Source organism: Homo sapiens, chromosome 3, assembly GCF_000001405.40.
Source record: "Homo sapiens chromosome 3, GRCh38.p14 Primary Assembly".
Classification (NCBI taxonomy): Eukaryota; Metazoa; Chordata; class Mammalia; order Primates; family Hominidae; genus Homo; species Homo sapiens.
Genome location: NC_000003.12, coordinates 54557453 through 54576978, shown reverse-complemented (window position 1 = coordinate 54576978; position 19526 = coordinate 54557453). Strand labels below are relative to the sequence as shown.

The window sequence follows — 19526 nt, the reverse complement described above, 5'->3', positions numbered from 1 at the left end:
TGCAGCCTCCACCTCCCAGGGTCAAGCAGTCCTTCTGACTCAGCTTCCCAAATAGTTCGGACCACAGGCACATGCCACCACGTCCAGCTAATTTTTTTATTATTATTTGTAGCAACAAGGTCTCCCTATGTTGCCCAGGCTGGTCTCGAACTCCTGGGCTCGAGCAATCCTCCTGCCTCAGCCTCCCAAGTACTAGGATTATAGGCATGAGCCACTGCACCTGGCCCTGGCTTTCCTTTTTATAACAAATAGTGCTTATTTGTGATGCTGCAACAGTCCCTCCAAAAATAACAACAAGCTTGAGACAAACCCACAATCTTCCTCAGGTATTAGACTACATCGCACAACTCTTGCTGAGGTAACTGTCCCTCTGTCTCCATTCAACCAACCTCCAAACTCTCCGCCCTGAAGGCAAGGGACACATCATCATATGCCTTTTCTTTCCTTTTGCCCAATGTCTGTGAGCATTCCCTAGATCTCCCCTTTTACAGACACAGCAAAGTGATCAATGAGAATCTTAATGATGATCTAAGATAGGAAAGACAACTTTGATTAAATGAAGGGCCAGAACGTTTTGGGGAAGGATCTAAAAGCAATGCAAATGGGCTAGACCCTCCCACCAAGGTTCACAGGAGCTTCTGCATTAGTGTAGAATCCCAGCATACACAGGCTCAGGTGAATCACAGTCCAAAAGCCAGAGAGCCAAAGACAACTGACTTTGGGCTCTGGATAACAGTGAGGAACCCACCTAATGTCAGAAGCTGAACTTGAGAGATGAAAGCAATTCCGCTTTCAGGCCTAACAGAAGGTTATCAGTCACCTAGAGAAGAGGATGAGGAAAGACCTCTCTAAGCAGGGACCGGCTTCGGGGCGCATCTCAACACCCTGCCCTGAAGCTGAGACTCATTTCTGTGGGTCTCCATTGCCTCCATGGGTTGTCCCAATTCCTCCACCTGGCTGACCAGACTGGTTCGATCTGGCTTGCCTCTCTCCATCCAGTCTCATTCATTTCACCATCACTCACCGGATCCACTTGCCTCCACATTCACCCACCCCCCTATGTGATCCAGACACACCAAGAGCTCCTTCTTAGGGGCTGGGGTAGGGGGATCTTACACCTGCAAATGGCACTTTCCTCCTCAGTTGTTGACTCCTTCCTCCTTCTCTCCCTGCCTTGTCCCATCACGTTTGCCTATGCCTGGCTAGCCTACTTATCTTCAAGTGTCCACTTAGTCATGACTTCTTCTGATAAGCCACCACAGAGCCCCAGGCGATACATGACCCAGCTCTAGACACCCAGCCCCCCAACTACTCCCTCTCCAAGACTGCACTGGCCACACTGTGTTGTGAGACCTGCTTCCTGGTAGCCCCCAAACAAGGCTCACACACAGAAAACCTAAGTCTCTGAGAGCAGACAGCTTGTCTTAAGTTAGCCCCAATGCTTAATGCAGAGCACTCAGTACTATTTGTTGAATGAATCGATAGAACAAAGAAACAAAAAGGCAAAATTGCAGAGAAGATCACTGATGGAAAGGACTAGGAACAAAGCCAGAAAAAAAATTGGCACAGAAACAAAAAATAAGATAAGAATCTCTACCCCCTTCAAAAAACAGGTAAATAAACAAAAAGTAAAGGAAGTAAGTGGCTATGTTTTAAAGAATCCAAAGTTCTGCCAAAAAAACCCATAGAATTAAATGCTGCCATGCTCATGTAATACAAGAAACTGATGCAGAATTGCTGGGACTCCATTAAATATTTTTACAGTTTTACTGGTGCACTTTTGATTAAATAACCTTTGAATGAAAACATGTAGGGATTATGTAATAAAGCAGATGAACACACATTATTTTGACCAACACAAGCCATCCTAGGGATCTTTTGCATTACAAAAGCATCTTATGTAATTTGAAACACAACTGGACACAATTAGTAGTACAGAACAAATGAGCACTGAAAGAAAATACTATCCTCATACTTTTAATACGGAATCGATTACTTTAAAAAGCAAATCCACAGCGGCAAAGCATCGGAGAAACCGTTCTAAAGAAAATCTGCAAATTAAAACCAGGGCATCAGAAAGTTCTTGCTTGAACTAACAAATGATGCTCTTCTTAATTCAAGTCTGCACAAATATGGGCTGCAGGAGGCATTTAAATTGATGTAACAATATTGGCCCGGTTAATGCTGTGTTCATTTAATGCATGGCTTAAGCTTCTGTAAAGTCATTTTTCAAATTTCAACATCGGACAGAATTAGCACCCTCATTTTTATGATAATATTGTTAATTTAATGCATGGCTTGAAGTTAGACTTCAAAGTGAATCAGAAAAATATGCCTTTTCTCTTGTCAGAGACATCTCTCTTCATGCACCAGTGGTTTGACCTTAAAATTTTAACTTCAACTGCACAAAATTACTCTCATATTTCAACTATTCTTTCATAATTCAATCAGTTAGTTTGTCCATTTTAGATAGATCTTGTAATACCTTGCCCATGAGAGCTAAAACAATTTTTAACATTATCTCTTTATGTTTATACTCTGGATAGATCAAGATCAGAAACTTTTCAGTATAATATTAAACATGCAGTTCACAATGAACTTAATAAAACCTGCAAAACCGAAAGACGAACTTAAGTGGCCAAGGGAAGTCTTTCCCACTATTTAAATCTCTTTCCTCCGACCTCCATTATGGCACTGAAAATCAAGAGGCAATGATGAATTAGATTTGCACAAACAAAAACCTACAGTACACGAGGGCTTCCGGCACTGAAAATATTGTATTCTTTACTTTTCCTCTAAAACAGTGAGCTATCTCCACAAACATCTACCCGGCAAGCAAAGGAAGGCTGACAGTGTAATGGAGGGTGAAATGATAATGTCCTCTTTCGTAAATGGAATCCAGCCGATGATAACAATGCACTCACACAGATTTGCAGGGCGTTCTGGATGGCGTTTCAAATATCCCATTCCCCTGCACTTTAAGAACCTGCAGTTGGGTCGCCCTCTACACAGGAGACAAGTGACCATTTTAAACAGACTGAGGGAAAACCTACACCATATTACTAGAGCAATTATGTCAGGGCAGAAACAGAAGGAGGTGATGGAGGAAAAAAGAATAAGAATTCAACGAGGCAAAATTCGCAGAACACACTTAGGATTGGGAGAGACAATTCAAGGGAATGCAAATGAAAATTAGCCAGCTAGGAATCTCCTATTATTTAGAAGCCTCAAACTGTTGGTAACTGTGTAAACATTATGCCCTGTTTGGTAGACATTCTGGTAGGTGCCTGTGTGTATACCCTTTGGTGCATAAATTTCACTTCTAGATTTTATTCAATAGAAGCACACCCAACCTTGCAAAAATATATGCATTCCATTCAGTGCACTGTACGCACTGCACTCACTGCAGCACTTCTGAGTAACAAATGTGATGGAATGCTCTGTTATTCAAATACATTTGATTGAAATAAGAGTTGCTGAATATTCTGTAAAATATGAATCCATTTTTGCGAAAAGACTGTGTGCTCATATACACAGAAACATTTAGAATATGTGCCAAATGAAAGAGAAATGAGAACATTACTGAATTGCTTAAAATTATTACATACATTGCCTACATTAAAAAGCAATGAACCTATAAACATTACTATTAATTAATGGTTCTTTTATGACCTTGGCCTTCTAATATAAATTCACTAACATATCTGATCCATTCTCTTATCCATTAGAGGAACAAAGTTCATGATTTTACTATAAAGGCTTCAAATAAAGAAGTTCAGAGTGTCTTTCTAGTTGTTGAAATAATTATGTAAATAGTGTTGAAGCTGATTATTTATGTTGAAAATGAACAAACAGATGCACAGTGAGGGTTAATGGGATCTTTAATGGGTTTCTTTATATAAAGGGACAATTTGGGGTAAAAAAATTTTTTTTCTTAACTCTTCTATAATAACTGGCATGCCTACTTTTAATTATCTTAGTCACCCTCTCTTCTTTATTGAGTTGACACTGTTTGTATATCTTAATGAACTTACATAGATTATTTCAATCGATTGGTTTTGTTAACAGAACAATAAATCCTGACTGATAAAGAATGCAGGATGTAATTAGTTAGCTCTTCTTATTACGTGAATTTCTGATACTTCTGTAATGAGTAATTAAAGATTAATAAGAAAGATAGTCTCATATTAGCTGCTTCTTATCTATAAATGCTTCAGGATGTGTGGGGATCAAGCCACACTTGCATTCTCACCACTAGGCTGGCAACTAGAGTAACTTGGCAGCAAACCCAAAGTTCTAACTATCTGAAAGTCTTCTTCCAAAGAACTATGCCTCAAGGCCATATAATTTCATGATAAGATGGCTGAGTGGATCAACTATATCCTCTTCACTTCTGCTCAGGAAAGGGTGCAAGGTGAAGCCGGACAATGTCTGAGCCTTCACCGTGCCACCTTTTCTGGCTGTGTAACTCAAAAAGTCACTTCTGCGGCTTCATGCCTCTGTCTCCATGCCACATAGCACAGAGCTGGGGTGAGGATTCAGTGAGATAATCCACACAGGACACTTAGCAACTGACTTGCACACAGTGAGTGGAAGGCAGCTGTGGTTATTATTCATTCAACAAATATTTAAACTCCTGCTATTTGCCAAGCACTGCCTAGGTGCTGGGGATACATCCATGAATGAACAAGACTAACCCCTGCTCCCAAGGAATTTAGTATTCTCTTTCTTTTCCCTTTCGTCTTTAGGATTTCTTAAAATCAGAAACTTTTGTTCTGAGAGTCTGATCAGAAGAGGCCTGTATAGGCAGGATACTAATTCAGGCAATCCCCTCGGCCACCATGTCACTTAGAGGCCCAGGCCCTCTGCCTGGAGAACACAAGTGGGTGTCACGCCTATGCAGAAGGCAGCCCAGTCATAAGGCTCCATCCATGACAACATACTCTCCTTGCGGGTTTAGGGGAGCCATGCAGACCACAGCAACAGCATTCTCGGAGCACCCTCTTCTTTTGTATCCCACCACTGGCTAAGGAGCCCTGTGCACCAGCTTGACTCTGGTGCATCAACTCAGATGATCCCAGCAGCAACCCTGTGGGCAAGGTGAGCACACCTACTTCACAGCTGAGGTAGCTGATGCCCAGACTAAAGTAATTAGCCCAAGACACACAGCATATGTGGTGAATGGGATTCAAAACAGCCCAACTCCAAAACCCAGGCTCTGCGCCCATCACCATGCTGCCTCCATTGTCCATAGCAACTACTCCACCTCCCAAATAGATGTGATGTGTGTTATTTTCATGCAAAAGAATAAGTGTCCACCACACACACACACACACACACACACACACACACACACACACACACACTTGGTTAAGTGCTCAAGGACTCAAAGAAATCAGGCTCACTCTGACGAGCCTTTGGTAAGAGAGTGGGAGGAACATAAGGGGCATGATGAAAATCATACCAAATAATCAGTGGGAAGAAGAAAAAGAACTGGAGATTGTAAACCAAAAATAAAATTCTAAGACCCCCCCCAACCATCTGAATGGACTTCCTCCTCTACACAGGAGACAAAGGCTCTTTTAAAATTTAATCTGAGAGACTGTTTCAGGCCGTGATGGGAAATGGGGGTCGAACATGCCTCCTTACACCTCTCCGGCATGAACATCAACACAGACTTTAAGTCTGATAAGAAATATTTTACAACCTATTCTCTCTGAAGCCTAGGACGTGAAGGCTTCCTCTACAAATAAGAACTCGGGCCTCCACCATCCTTTATCTTAACCCAGACATTCCTTTTTATTCACCCCCAGCTCTTTAGAAAAACTCAACCAATTGTCAACCAGAAAATTTTAAAATCTACCTATAAGCTGGAAGCCCCTGCTTCGAGCTGTCCTGCCTTTCCGGACCAAACCAATGTATTTCTTAAATGTATTTGACTGAAGTCTCATGTCTCCCTAAAATGTAGAAAAACAAGCTGCACCAGTGAACCAAGCTGAACAGGTGCCCAACTACCTTGGGCGCATGTTCTTAGGACCTCCTGAGGGCTGTGTCACAGGCCATGGTCACTCATATTTGGCTCAGAATAAATCTCTTCAAATATTTTGCAGAGTTTGCCTCTTTTCATTGACAAGATGGACACCTGAATAAGTGGTCATTTCCAGGCTACATGACTGCCCGGTCTCAGGCTTGGTTCCCTGATCTCCCATTTGCCAGCCTTGTGACCTGGACAAGTTACTGACACTCTTCCAATCTCAGCACCTTCATTTGAGAATATGCCCAAACCACCCCCTACCTCCTAGACTTGCTGTGAAAAACCAAGATAATAAAAATATGAAGATTAAGGCATTTATTAAAAGCAGGCATTTAATAAATGCCACCTTTTTTCCAGAAGCTGAAATAAAGTGTTCTGTGAGCCATAAAGTGCTCTCCATATTTTAGTTGCTTCATTGCCATTATTATTATTATTATCAATTATTATCATCGTCAATATCATCAGGCTAACCTAGCTGGAAGTTAATTTCCATGTGAGAAATTCTAGTGGTTTGGTGAAAATCTTGCTAAGTCTGTTTTCCAAGAATCTGAAAATGTCAGCTCCCCAGGAATACCACATCTGGTGTGTCATTCTCTCAGATGGTGTGGCGGTGTGGCTGTGTGGTAGGTTAAGACAGGCAACGTGTGTTCAACTGCATTTCCAAAAGCCCTTCCACTGCCTTCCACTGTCCATGACTCTGTCAACTTTCATGAGACTAACCAGGCCTCATGTTCTGGCATCTAGATGCTCTGGATCTAACAGCGAGAGCAATGTTAACCAGTCACTACCAAAAGATCAAATGAACCCAAGTGCAAAGAAGGCACAAAACGGTGCACTCACAGCAATTATGTTGAAGAAGTCATCATCCCCAAGTGTATCCAAAATGGATGAGACTGTTTGCTTCGCGATAGTCAGACGGAGTCCTTTCATGCTGCCACTGACGTCAACTAAAATGACCACGTCTTTCGGAGAAGTTGCTGCCTGGATGTACCTAGGTCAAGGGAAAAATTAAGTCAAAATTAATCCTGACTTCACTTCTCTTCAAGATATCTCTTTGAGAAATAACAAAGAGGTCTGACCACTGCCTACCATTTTCGGTTCCTGCAGTCGAAGGCAATGACTCCATTCTCATCTGGTTCCCATTTAATCCCTAGAAGAAAAATGGGGTTATGAGAAACCCAGAAACTTCAAATATTTATTCATAGCATTTCAAGGCTGCTCTACTTTGCTGATTGAATGGACAGGGTGAAAAATCACATGCAAAGACCAACCCCAGAGCTCATCACATGCTCCATCGCCAAATCCAGGAAGGAGCTGTTGGGCCATAACCCTATAGCAAACACAGCGCTAGCTCAGCTTCTCCAAAGGCCTGCAGAGAGTGGAGATGTTTTTAGGACTGTGCTGTCCATTGAGAGAGTATGTGACTCCAGCTCCTTCCCTTGGCTAGGGATAAAGGTAGCCGAAGTCATTTCTTACTGTCCAGCAAGTTGTTGCACCTGGGGGGATCATCCATAGATCTCTGGGCAGAGTCTGGCCCGTCCCTGGACCAGGTGATGTAATGTCTACAGGAGGGGGGTTGAAAGCATAGATACAATGTTTCCAACTAAGGATATACACGGGTCTGTTCCCTCCTCACTCCTGTTTTTAAAATCAGAAATTTTGGCCTGGCTTTCCACATTGAAATGAAATAAAATGGCTCTCATTATGCTGCATAATAAAGTTTGAATTTCAGCTCCTGAAGCCTGGGGAGTTTTCCCCATGTGTAAAATCAGATCCAACATCCTTAGTCTTGTGGTTTGCAGCCTAGTCAGGATATATCCAACTTAGTTTTTAAGAATAAAATATCATTTGAAAAGAAAGGCATTGGCTGCTTAAAAATAAGACAGAAAATCACTGTTTTCAACCATCAGTTCTGCTCAGGGATGGAGGATTTGCAACAGAGACTTTGGAGATAAGAAAATAAAAACAGAAATATCGTTTTCGCAGGAGAGAATCCTGACTCAGCTGATGGCATTGAGATTCTTTTTTTCCGATTAACAATGGCCAGCTTTCTACAGGACCACAATGGGCTAATAACAGGCATCTGCTGAAGATAACATCCCCAAATTATCACACAGATAACCTTGAGACAGTAGTCTGTAATGCAAAGAGATATTGGGTTCTGTCCTTCTTGTACCTACATTTCCCACTGCACATGTGTCTAATTTAAAAACACTCTCCATAAGAAATCAGAAAATGTTAGTATAAGAAGCTACTGCCAAATTGGAGGTCATTAGGTAATAAAGATAAAATACAACTAATATGATGTTGCACACTAAGGGACAAGAATGCAATTAATTTAAAAATATCTGACACATTGCTTTGCATAAAGCCAGGTACCATTAGGATGGCACAGTCTTGAGAAACAGTGAAGTTATATCCCTGGTGAGGCTAGGCAATGCTCCAATTTATAATTCCACAAATAACTGGTTTGAGTGTGATATAAAGATAATTTTTTATTTTTTGTTTTTTAAATGTGTTGACCCACGGGAGGTGTTCAGTGGATGTTTCTTGAATTGAACTGTGGTGAGTGATCTTAAGACCACGGCCACCCCTGTCCCCAGAATGTACGTAAATCCCTATGTAAAACTGAAAATAATGTCCAAATCTCTGCTGCAGATTCAAACGCTCAAATTTGAGTGAATTTGAATCATTGTGCAACACTGCTATATCCCACGGGTTCTCTCCCACAGGCATTACAAACTAACATTGGAGGAAAATTAATTTCATTTAAGACAACCTATGACTTCCTGTTCTCTTTTAGCTTGTGAAAAGAAACAGTAGGGCCAAAGGAACAGAGACTGATACAAGACTGAAGGTCAAGCCACATGTTCCCAACATAATTCTGTGTGGCAATGAGGTCTGAGACTGTGTAATGGAACTATGAAGGACTACAACAAATAGCACAATAAAAATCTGAATATCTTTTTGCCCTGTGGTTTTATTTCTGCTCCATGTTCTCCTTTTCTCTCCACTTCAGGAAAGGGCATCTTCGTCCATTCCTTCTCCTGTCTTTAAAGCGCAGTGTTTTCCATACAACATCACTGGCACTGCCAATGACATTCAAACCATCTCCAGCCAGGCACAGTGGCTCACGCCTGTAATCCCAACACTTTGGGAGGCCAAGGTGGATCATGAGGTGAAGAGTTAAAGACCAGCCTGGCCAAAATGGTGAAGCCCCATCTCTACTAAAACTGCAACAATTAGCCAGGTGTGGTGGCAGGCGCCTGTAATCCCAGCTACTTGGCAGGTTGAGGCAGGAGAATTGCTTGAACTTGGGCAGCAGAGGTTGCAGTGAGCCAAGATTGCACCACTGCACTCCAGCCTGGGAGACAGAGTAAGACTCCTTCTCAAAAAACAAACAGAGAACAACAACAACAACAAACAACAAACAAAAAACCACCTCCACCTGAACAGATACTGCCTATCCTACTGAAACATGGCATTTGTCTTCCCTACTTGAAAGCAAAAAGTCCAGAAAGATGTGGAAAGAAGGAAAATCAAGGGGTGGCAGACATTGGTTTATCCCTAAGTTCTGCCCAATTCCTTCCTCAAAAAATATTTAGTACTTGGCCCATAATTTAAAGTTTAAACACATACCTTCCAGATAACTTTAGATCTAAAATATCTGATCAAAAATACATGCTGGCTTCTAATGTGAGTCAAGCTACAGTCAAACTTGGCTGTAAAATGTCTTCTGAGAAGCTGCCTATGCACTTCTCTAAAAAGAGCTCCTTTATTCAACTAGATGCCATCTCTCTTGCCAATCTCCTGAGAGATTACGCACCATGAATATGAGGATATAGCAAGACAGTTGCTATGAAAATTATAAATTATGGTGTTCCATGATCATCTTTATTAGGGCAGTCCTGTTGAGCTAGCCAAGGAAGAAAACCCTAATATCAATCATACTCTCCCCATTGCTAAACCTGAGCCTGGTGAGGAAGGCATGGAAGGGAAGAAACAAAAAGTAATGCTGTGCACAGAACCTGAACTTGATACTAGCAAACAGCATGTATGAGTCCAAACTTATGGAGAACTCTTTACTTAGCTGTTCAGCTCCCTCATCGTGGCTGTAGCTATGAACCAGCTTTCACCTTCCTATGGCAGCCAAATCATAGTGCAAGGATAAGACAATCATTGACCTTTGTAATTACCAAGCCTTCTACAGGAACAAACTCCCCTGCGTACGGCTATAGAAAGGTGACAGTCTGATGTTGGGGAAGGGACCAGGGCTTCTTATAATCATGCATGAACCTAACTGATGTCCTGTGTTTGATTAGACAGTGACCTGTCTGTGATGTATAGACACAGTTTTCTTTATGTAGGTAAGAGTACATGGGTAGGTACTGTCAGCCAGCCACATCATTTTAAATAAAGCTAAGAATTGGCCAGAACAGGAAGAATAGATCAGTCACTGGTGGCCTCAGCCAATAACCAGGTAGAAAACGGGTCCCACAGAGGGCTATAAAAAGATGAACTGGTCAAGCCTCACAGGAAAAGGGATGACTGTGCAGCCCTTTGATCCTCTGCCTCCTGGGAGATGGGGAGCCTGGAGAACACTACTCATTAGATGAGATGGTCATAAAGCATCAGAAGGAAATAGCCAACAGATGGGCATGCCCAGTGTCCAGGACATGGTGGGCAGTGGGGTGGAAAGGGCAGGTACTAGGAAGACTTGGAGGAGAGGGATCAATGAGAACATAAAGGGACTATGGCTCTGTACTGCATTTATGCCAGCTCCTTGCTGAGTCATCAAGTCTCTACCAGAGTGCAGCTGGGGACCAGCTCCCCCAAAGAGGCAATAGCTCTATTCTGTCTGAAGAGAGAGGGCAGCTGCCACTGGTGTGATGGGAGACAACAGATCTGGTGGAGTTTGATCTAATGGGTGATTCATTCATTCAACAAACACATATTGAGCACCCACTATGTGTTATTCTTGCAGCTAGTGACAGAGTAATGGACAAAACAAATGACTCCTCCCAGGGGCAAATATTATAGTAGAGGAGACAGGAGTTGAAAGCCTGATGGTTCAGGATTTCAGGGTAGAGTTCCCATTTTATAAAGTAAGAACTATAGAGCCTAATGAAGTCATCTGTTCAGTAAGACCTTTTTGCAATGCAAGCCCTGAAAGATAAGGCTGGTCCCTTGGAAACGGGGTATCAGACTACAGAAGTCTCTTCCTACAGCATTATGTTATTCAACATGGTGACTACTAACCACGTGTGGCCATTTAATTTTAATTTTAAATAAAGTTAAATAACATTTAAATTTCAGTTCCTCAGCCTCACCTAGCACACTTCAAGTGCTCACTACCCCTGTGTGGCCAGTGACATTAGTGATATTAGATAGGATACAGAACATTTCCACCATCTCATAAAGTCCTTTTGAGAGACACAAGAGAGTTACCACATGCCCTTAGGACATAAATTGAACTGGTGAAGGCCTATGTGTGAAGCCATGCAGAAATGGACATCATCATCACGCCAAGGCTTTCAGGCTAATGCTTACCAAAATTCTCCTTCCCAGGACTCTTTCCTCTCACGCCAGGAGTTGGAGTTGGTGATCCTTCTCAGTGATCACCCAGCACCTTCTATTTCCCTCAGCTTAGCATGAAACGCACTGTACCATGATGATGTTTGCCTGTCTATCTCCCCATGGTGGTCACTGATGCCCCCTCCTTTGGGGATGCAGTCTAGGCAAAGCCACAATAATCCTGACTAGTTCCCAGGGTTTCGGATGGCTGACCTTACCCACTAGTTCTTCAGGCATCAGTGGTGGGCAAGCAACTCAGACCAGGCTAATTCTTGGACTTTCATCCAAGCTACTGGGACAGATGCTGTCTCCTCCCCTGGAACCCCCACTGAGAAATCCTGCCAGGCCTGTTCCCCATTACGAGGAGATCACTTGCCAGTGAGACAAGGTTAGAATGGAAGAAGGCAGAAATGAGAGCTGAAAGGAAGGATTCAAATTCCAAATGACTTTGCTCCAGTCTCTCATTGCTGTCGCCCAAATGGCACACTCCCTAGATTTCAAATTACATGAGCCAGTAAGTGTGCTTCTTGCTGGAGCTAGCTGGAATTGTGTTTCTGTCCCTTGCAAACAAAATCCACGACAAATGCATGTCCCCACAAGAAGGAGCTGGATGAGGGCAGAGACCTCTTTTGTCTAGTTCATGATTTTATCCTCAGGGCCTCATATAGTGGTACAAAGCCAGAACTCAGTAAGACTGAAGAAAGACTCCTTCTGCTTAAGAACACGCACACTTGCCACTGATTCACACCACTCTAACAATGGAAAGAGGCATCCTGAAAAGAAAAACATCCTCGCAAAATGCTCATGATCACTCTTTGAGTCACATGTCCAGGAGGCAAGAGGTATGCTCTGTGTTCAGAACCAAGCACAGAGTTGAGTGGCCACATGACATTTATCAAGGCATTGAAACACCTTGGTGGACTGCGGCCCACGTCTTTACTAACACAGAAATTATGCAGGCATTTTACAGAGCCACATCCTGCCCAAAAGTCCTAAAAGAACAGTAAGCATGGCTGAACCAATTGTTCTGACTGATAAAAACCTTGTATGTAAATTAATCTCCCCTATTACACAAACCCTTTATGAGGATTCCCTTTATTTTCAAATGTCCTCGTGACCATAGTTTAAGGACTCCCTGTTGGAGGAGACAACAGGTGATCTGCGGTTTCTACTTATCTGTCTTGCCCTCTTCACAGTGCCGCATAGCGAGACGGTTGGCTACCCAGGGGCTTCCCAAGCAGAGGAACCTCTCCCCTAGGCTCTGATTTCAGCAATATCTGCACCAGATTTGCTCTCTGTTGAGTGTATCAAGGCAGACTGCAATTTGGTGGCACTGGAACTTTAATCGTCCACTGTTTATTATGGCATTATCTTTAATAGGATGCTTATTGTTTACATTTCTGTGAGCTCCGGGAGGAAGCACGTGTGCCATGCTGAACATGACTCTTGGGAAATGTTCTGTAATCTGGCAAAGCAGAGACCCAGCAGGCAATTCTCGAGGGTCAGATGCTGTGCGCGGGGCAAACAGCTCCGCAAGGCAGAGGCCGGCAGTCTGTGCCTCAAAGTGGGAAGGCATCAGGTGCCTAGTCTTACTTAATGAAAACATGAAAGACTTCACTTAATTGCTCCAAGATTATGCAGGGTGGGGTTTTTCTCCCCCTTCTTTTAGGTTGAGCTTGTTAATTTCTACAGCTGTGATGTTGGCACAGTTGCAGCCCCGAGTCCTGTTTTCACAACTTGTAAGCAAAATTAAAACTTCCCTTTTTAATTAAAATTCAAACCAAGCCAGAATTAAAATCCTATCACAAAGCAGAGGCCTGGGAAGGCTCCAGAAGGAACACCTGTTCCAAAGGCATGATGGACAGCCTCTGAGATACGCACCGCTGGGAGTACTGGGGGTGCTAGGGTGCTGGGAGCACCCTCTGTGGAGGGGTTCTTGCCGTCAGCGACGCCTGGGCCATTTCAACATCTTCCTGCAAGGGGAGTCAGCTCTTGGGTGGACAAATCCGGTTCAAATTCTCTATTTCTTATACCTGTTAGTGAGAATTTAATTGCCCAAGTATGCTCTTTTCCCCAATAATAATAATTATAGCAATAACAGCAGCAGTATTGGTAATAAGGCCAAACTCTTGTTCAGAAGTATTAAATAAGGTACAGTTCACACTACAGTTCTTCACATTTGGTGACAGCTCTGTGAATTATTCTATTGAGAACAGGGCAGGTCCAGAGAATTCCTGTGATCATGTCCTGTGTGTGTGCGTGCCCATCTGGATGCCACCTTGCCATTCCTGTCCTGCACCCTGACAATAGGTTTGGAATTCATCTTTCATTTTCTTCTAAGAAAAGGCAGAAAAGTTTTAACCTTGAACCCTAAAGAAAAATACCACATTATCAGTTATCATTAATCTGAGTCATAACTGTCAATGCAGGTATACTCACCCGGATACTGCCTAAAAAAGCCCTTTGCACTTCCAAAGTACTGCCATATGAGAGATGGGTCACGGTCAAAGTTATCTACAAAAACTTTGTTTAGAGATTCAGACCAATAAACCCCATTGACAATTGCAGGGTCTGTAAAAAAGAAAGAGAGAGAGAGGGGTGTATTAGAAACCAAAGTGAAATAAAATTCCTGGCATCCCACGCTGCTTGGCAGATACTGGCACAAGGTACTCCATCTTGCAGGAGGCTATGAAGGAAGTTATAGCCACAAAAACGTTTAGCTCCTGGGGTGTCCAGATGCTGGGGATTCCCCTCCTGCCTGAGCCCTCCTAGTCTCCCAGGAGCCTCTACTGATGGTTCCTTACTTGAAAGACACTTCCTTTTATTTGTACCTTTCAATATCACATATCCCATAGAGAAAATCACATAATCCTCTTTAAGAAAGCAGAGAGAGACCTTATTAGCATTATTTTCCTGCTTTTCCCCCTACGGAGCCAAAACTCGGCATTAAAAATAGGAAAACTGTATTTTCTCTCACTGTAATCACCTCAGCCACCAACACAGCCCTATTCCATTTCTCTTGTCCCTGATTAGAAGTTTGCTTTTCTTAAAAAAATAAATAAATTGAAATTACATAACTAAATCTCTCTACTTCTTCTGTTCAGCAGAATGTGATCTCTGTGAAAGCACAGACTGCCTCTTGGTCTTCTGCTGTACCCTTTGACCAGCACATGGCAGAAGCTCCAAAACTCTTGTAGAGGAACAGAGGGAAGGATGGATGGATGGTGGTATGATTTGGCTATGTCCCCACCCAAATCTCATCTTGAATTGCAGCTCCCATAATTCCCATGTGTTGTGGGAGGGACCTGGTAGGAGATAATTGAATCATGGGGGTGGGGCAGGTCTTTCCTGTGCTGTTCTTATGATAGCGAATAAGTCTCACGAGACCTGAGACTTTTTATAAAGGGGCACTCCCCTACATATGCTCTCTTGCATGTTACCATGTAAGATGTGCCTTTGCTCCTCCTTTGCCTTCTGCCATGACTGTGAGGCCTCCCCAGCCATGTGGAACTGTGAGTCAGTTAAACCTCTTTCCTTTATAAATTATCCAATCTCAGGTATGTCTTTATTACCAGCATGGGAACAGGCCAATACAGATGGATAACACAAAGGTTGTTCTCCAGATACCAGGCAATCATTTGCTCTTCTGCCATGGAATCCCATGAGCAAATCTCTTTTCCTCACCTATGGTAGCCCAAAGACAACTCCTTGCCTTCAGTGCAGTGATTTAAAAAAATAAGGGTGAATTCCTATTCAACACAATATTGGAATTCCTGGCCAGGGCAATCAGGCAAGAGAAAGAAATAAAGGGCATTCAAATAGGAAGAAAGGAAGTCAAACTATCCCTGTTTACAGATGACATGATCCTATACCTGGAAAACCCCACAGTCCCAGCCCAAAAGCTTCTTAAGCTCATAAACGATTTCAGCAAAGTCTGAGGATACAACATCAATGTGCAAAATATCACTAGCATTCCTATACACTAACGACAGTGAAGCTGAAAGCCAAATCATGAATGAACTCCCATTCACAACTGCCACAAAAAGAATAAAGTACCTAGAAATATAGCTAACTAGGGAGGTGAAAGATCTCTACAAGGAGAACTACAAACCACTGCTCCAAGCAATAAGAGATGACACAAACAAATGTAAGACATCCCATGCTCATGGATAAGAAGAATCAATATTGTTAAAATGGTCATACTGCCCAAAGCAATTCATAGATTGAATGCTAATCCTAATAAATTACCGTTGAGATTCTTCACAGAACTAGAAAAACTATTTTTAAATTCATATGAAACTAAAAAAGAGCCTGAATAGCCAAGGCAACCCTAATCAAAATGAATAAAGCTAGAGGCATCACAGTATCTGACTTCAAACTATACTACAGGGCTACAGTAACCAAAACAGCAGTGGTACTGGTATGAGAACAGATACATAGACCAATGGAACCAAATAGAGAGGAAAGAAATAAGACTGCATGCCTACAACTATCTTATCTTTGACAAACCTGACAAAAACAAGCAATGGGGAAAGGATTCCCTATTCAATAAATGATGCTGGAATAACTGGCTAGCCATATGTAGAAGATTAAAACTGGACCTCTTCCTTATACTGTATACAAAAATTAAGACAAGATGGTTTAAAGACATAAATGTAAAACCCAAAACTATAAAAACCCTGGAATACAACCTAGACAATACCATTCAGGACACAGGCACAGGCAAATATTTCATGACAAAGACACCAAAAGCAATTGCAACAAAAGCAAAAATTGACAAATGGGATCTAATTAAACCAGAGAGCTTCTGCAAAAGAAACCACCAACAGAGTCAACAGACAACCTACAGAATAGGAGAAAATTTTTGCAAATTATGCATCTGACAAAAGTCTAATATCCAGCATCTATAAGGAACTTAAACAAATTTACAAGAAAAACAATCCTATTAAAAAGTGGACAAAGGAAATGAACAGACACTTCTCAAAAGAAGGCATACATGCAGCCAACAATCACATTTAAAAAAGCTCAACATCACTGATCATTAGAGAAATGCAAATCAAAACCACAATGAGATACTGTCTCATACCAGTCAGAATGGCTGTTATTAAAAAGTCAAAAAGTAACAGATGCTGGTGAGGTTGTGGAGAAAAAGGAACACTTTTACACTGTTGGTGGGGGTGTAAATTAGTTCAACCATTGTGGAAGACAGTGTAGCGATTCCTCAAAGACCTAAAGACAGAAATACCATTAGACTCAGCAATCCCATTACTGGGCATATACTCAAAGGAGTATAAATCAGTCTATTATAAAGATACACCCATGCATATGTTCAGTGCTGCACTACTCACAACAGTAAAGACATGGAATCAACTTAAATGTCCATCAATGATAAGAAAATGTGGCACATATACACCATGAAATACTATGCAGCCATAAAAAAGAACAAGACCATGTCCTCTGCAGGAACATGGATGGAACTGCAGGCCATTATCCTTAGCAAAACTAATACAGGAACAGAAAACCAAATACTGCTTGTTCTCACTTATTAAGTGGGAGCTAAATGATGAGAACACATGGACACATAGAGGAGAACAACACACACTGGGGCCTTTCAGAGGGTGAAGGTTTGGAGGACGGAGGGGATTAGGAAAAATAACTAATATGTACTAGGCTTAATACCTAAGTGATGAAATAATCTGTACGACAAACCCCCATGACACAAGTGTGTCTATATAACAAACCTGCACATGTACCCCTGAAGTTAAAAATAAAAGTTGAAGCCAGGCGTGATGGCTCACACCTGTAATCCCAGCACTTTGGGAGGCCGAGGTGGGCAGATCACTTGAGGGCAGGAGTTCGAGGACAGCCTGGCCAACATGGTGAAAGCCCATCTCTACTAAAAATAGAAAAACTAGCTGGGCGTGGTGGCGGGCGTCTGTAGTCCCAGCTACTTGGGAGGCTGAGACAGGAAAATAGCTTGAACCTGGGAGGCGGAGGTTGAGCCGAGATCGCGCCACTGCACTCCAGCCTGGGTGACAGAGCAAGCCTCAGTCTCAACAATAAAAATAAAAATAAAATAAAAGTTGGAAAAAAAATAAGGGTGAAGACAAAGAAGGAGAATAAACAAGTATTTCCTGTACACTGGCTGAAGCAATGTGGGTCACTGAGGATGCTCTGTGATGGTTCACTTTTTCTTTTTAACCTCTGAAGACCCTGTTTCAAAATGATGCCACATTAAGCAACATTCCGTTCTTAGAGGAGAAATAGCTGTCAAGTGTCAGGATGAAAAGTTTGAGAATGACTACATGAGTTATTAATGATGAGGAAGAGGAGGAGGAGGAGAAACTTTCACTGGGTCCTTCCCGGGGTATAGGCGTGGTGCTTACTTTACCTCCTATCCCCCCTCAGCAGACCTCCAAGGCAGGCTAGATCCCTTGTTCTCCTCCATTCTACAGCAGTGGAAACTATAGCACCAGGATATGAGGTACTTTCCTAAAAGCATCCAACTACTAAGGGGCAAAGCCTCTCTGATCTGAGGTTTCCTTATTTGTAAAATGGGGATAATAATACCCAACCTATACACACACACCATGGAATAATACACGGCCATAAAAAATAATGAGATTATCTCCTTTGCAGTGACATGGATGGAGCCAGAGGCCATTATCCTGAGTGAATTAACAGAGGAACAGAAAACTAAACAGCCTATGTTCTCACTTATAAGTGGGAGCTAAACACTGAGTACACACGGACACAAAGAAGGGAACAACACACACTGGGGCCTACTTGAGGGTGGAGGGTGGGAGGAGGGTGAGGATCAAAAAACTACCAATTGGGTACTATGCTTATTACCTGGGTGATAAAATAATCTGTACACATGTGACATGCAATTTACCCACATAACAAACCTGCACATGTACCTCCTGAACCTAACACAAAAGATGGAAAGGAAAAAAAAAATACCCACCCTAGAGACCTGTTTAGAAGGTTAAACAAATCAACAGAAAACAGCTAATGGCCAAAGGCACTCACACTGCCATTGATGGGGCTGTTCCCTTGGCCTAGAGCCCTGTACCCTCACCAGAGATCCCTGCTGGATGCCAAGTCACGCAACCCTACTGTGACATCCTCATTCCAGAGATTCATCAATACCATACAGACAGGAGGGGTGAGGACGGATGAGGTTACTCCAGTCGTCAAGTTGCAGAGGAAACAATGAGCAACATAATGCTAGAAATGGTCACATAAGTCAGGTCCACTTACGAGGGCACTCAGGATTGGCCCCAGTGCACCTCCTCTCCTCCACAGCTGTCTACACCTTTCCAGCGGCAGCCCCAGGACATCCACCTACACAGCTCTAGAGTCCACAGAATGGCTCCAGGGCCAGTGGGCAGACACAGTGTACTGGCTTGTTGTGTCACCTCTGCCCTGCCTTATTCCTTCAGATCACTGAGGTAACTGGGATTCTGAATCCCATCTCAAGGGTAAATGCTCTAACTCTTGTAAACTGTAATAAACCCTATCATAGCCTGGGGGTGTGAAAATGACCCAATCAGCCTTTCACCACAAAGTAATTTTAGGAGGACTTTATCCTCACGATCCTGGAAAATGGATCTCTTTCTTTTTCCTGTCCAAGCTTGATAACGATTATTGTGACTCACCCCTAGCGGCAAAACCCGCTTAAATTAATCCACAAAGATGCAAATACAATAATGACACTGAAAAATCCATGGTGCTTGCCTCCAACAATGGGCTCAATTATGTCGGCGTCATAAAAACCTTCCACAAAAAGAAGCGAAATTCCATTTCCTTAGCTCACTGTCTCAACATGTTAAGGAGTCAAACAGTTTACAGTTAGACAATTATTTTTTCTTAAGTGTGACAACTGGGATTTGCCCAGTTTTGACAATTCTTTTTT

At 42.5% G+C, this 19526-nt stretch overlaps 1 protein-coding gene across 1 annotated transcript in view; it reads right to left on the bottom strand.

The window, feature by feature from the left end:
- The window catches only part of CACNA2D3 (calcium voltage-gated channel auxiliary subunit alpha2delta 3), a 952006-nt gene that overhangs the window by 497579 nt on the left and 434901 nt on the right, over positions 1-19526 (bottom strand). Inside the window, exons 6-8 of the mRNA NM_018398.3 lie at positions 14048-14179; positions 7124-7184; positions 6875-7025 (exon numbers count right to left, since the gene is read on the bottom strand). Coding sequence (NP_060868.2) covers positions 6875-7025; positions 7124-7184; positions 14048-14179 — 344 coding nt within the window. The remainder of the gene's footprint in view (positions 1-6874; positions 7026-7123; positions 7185-14047; positions 14180-19526) is intronic.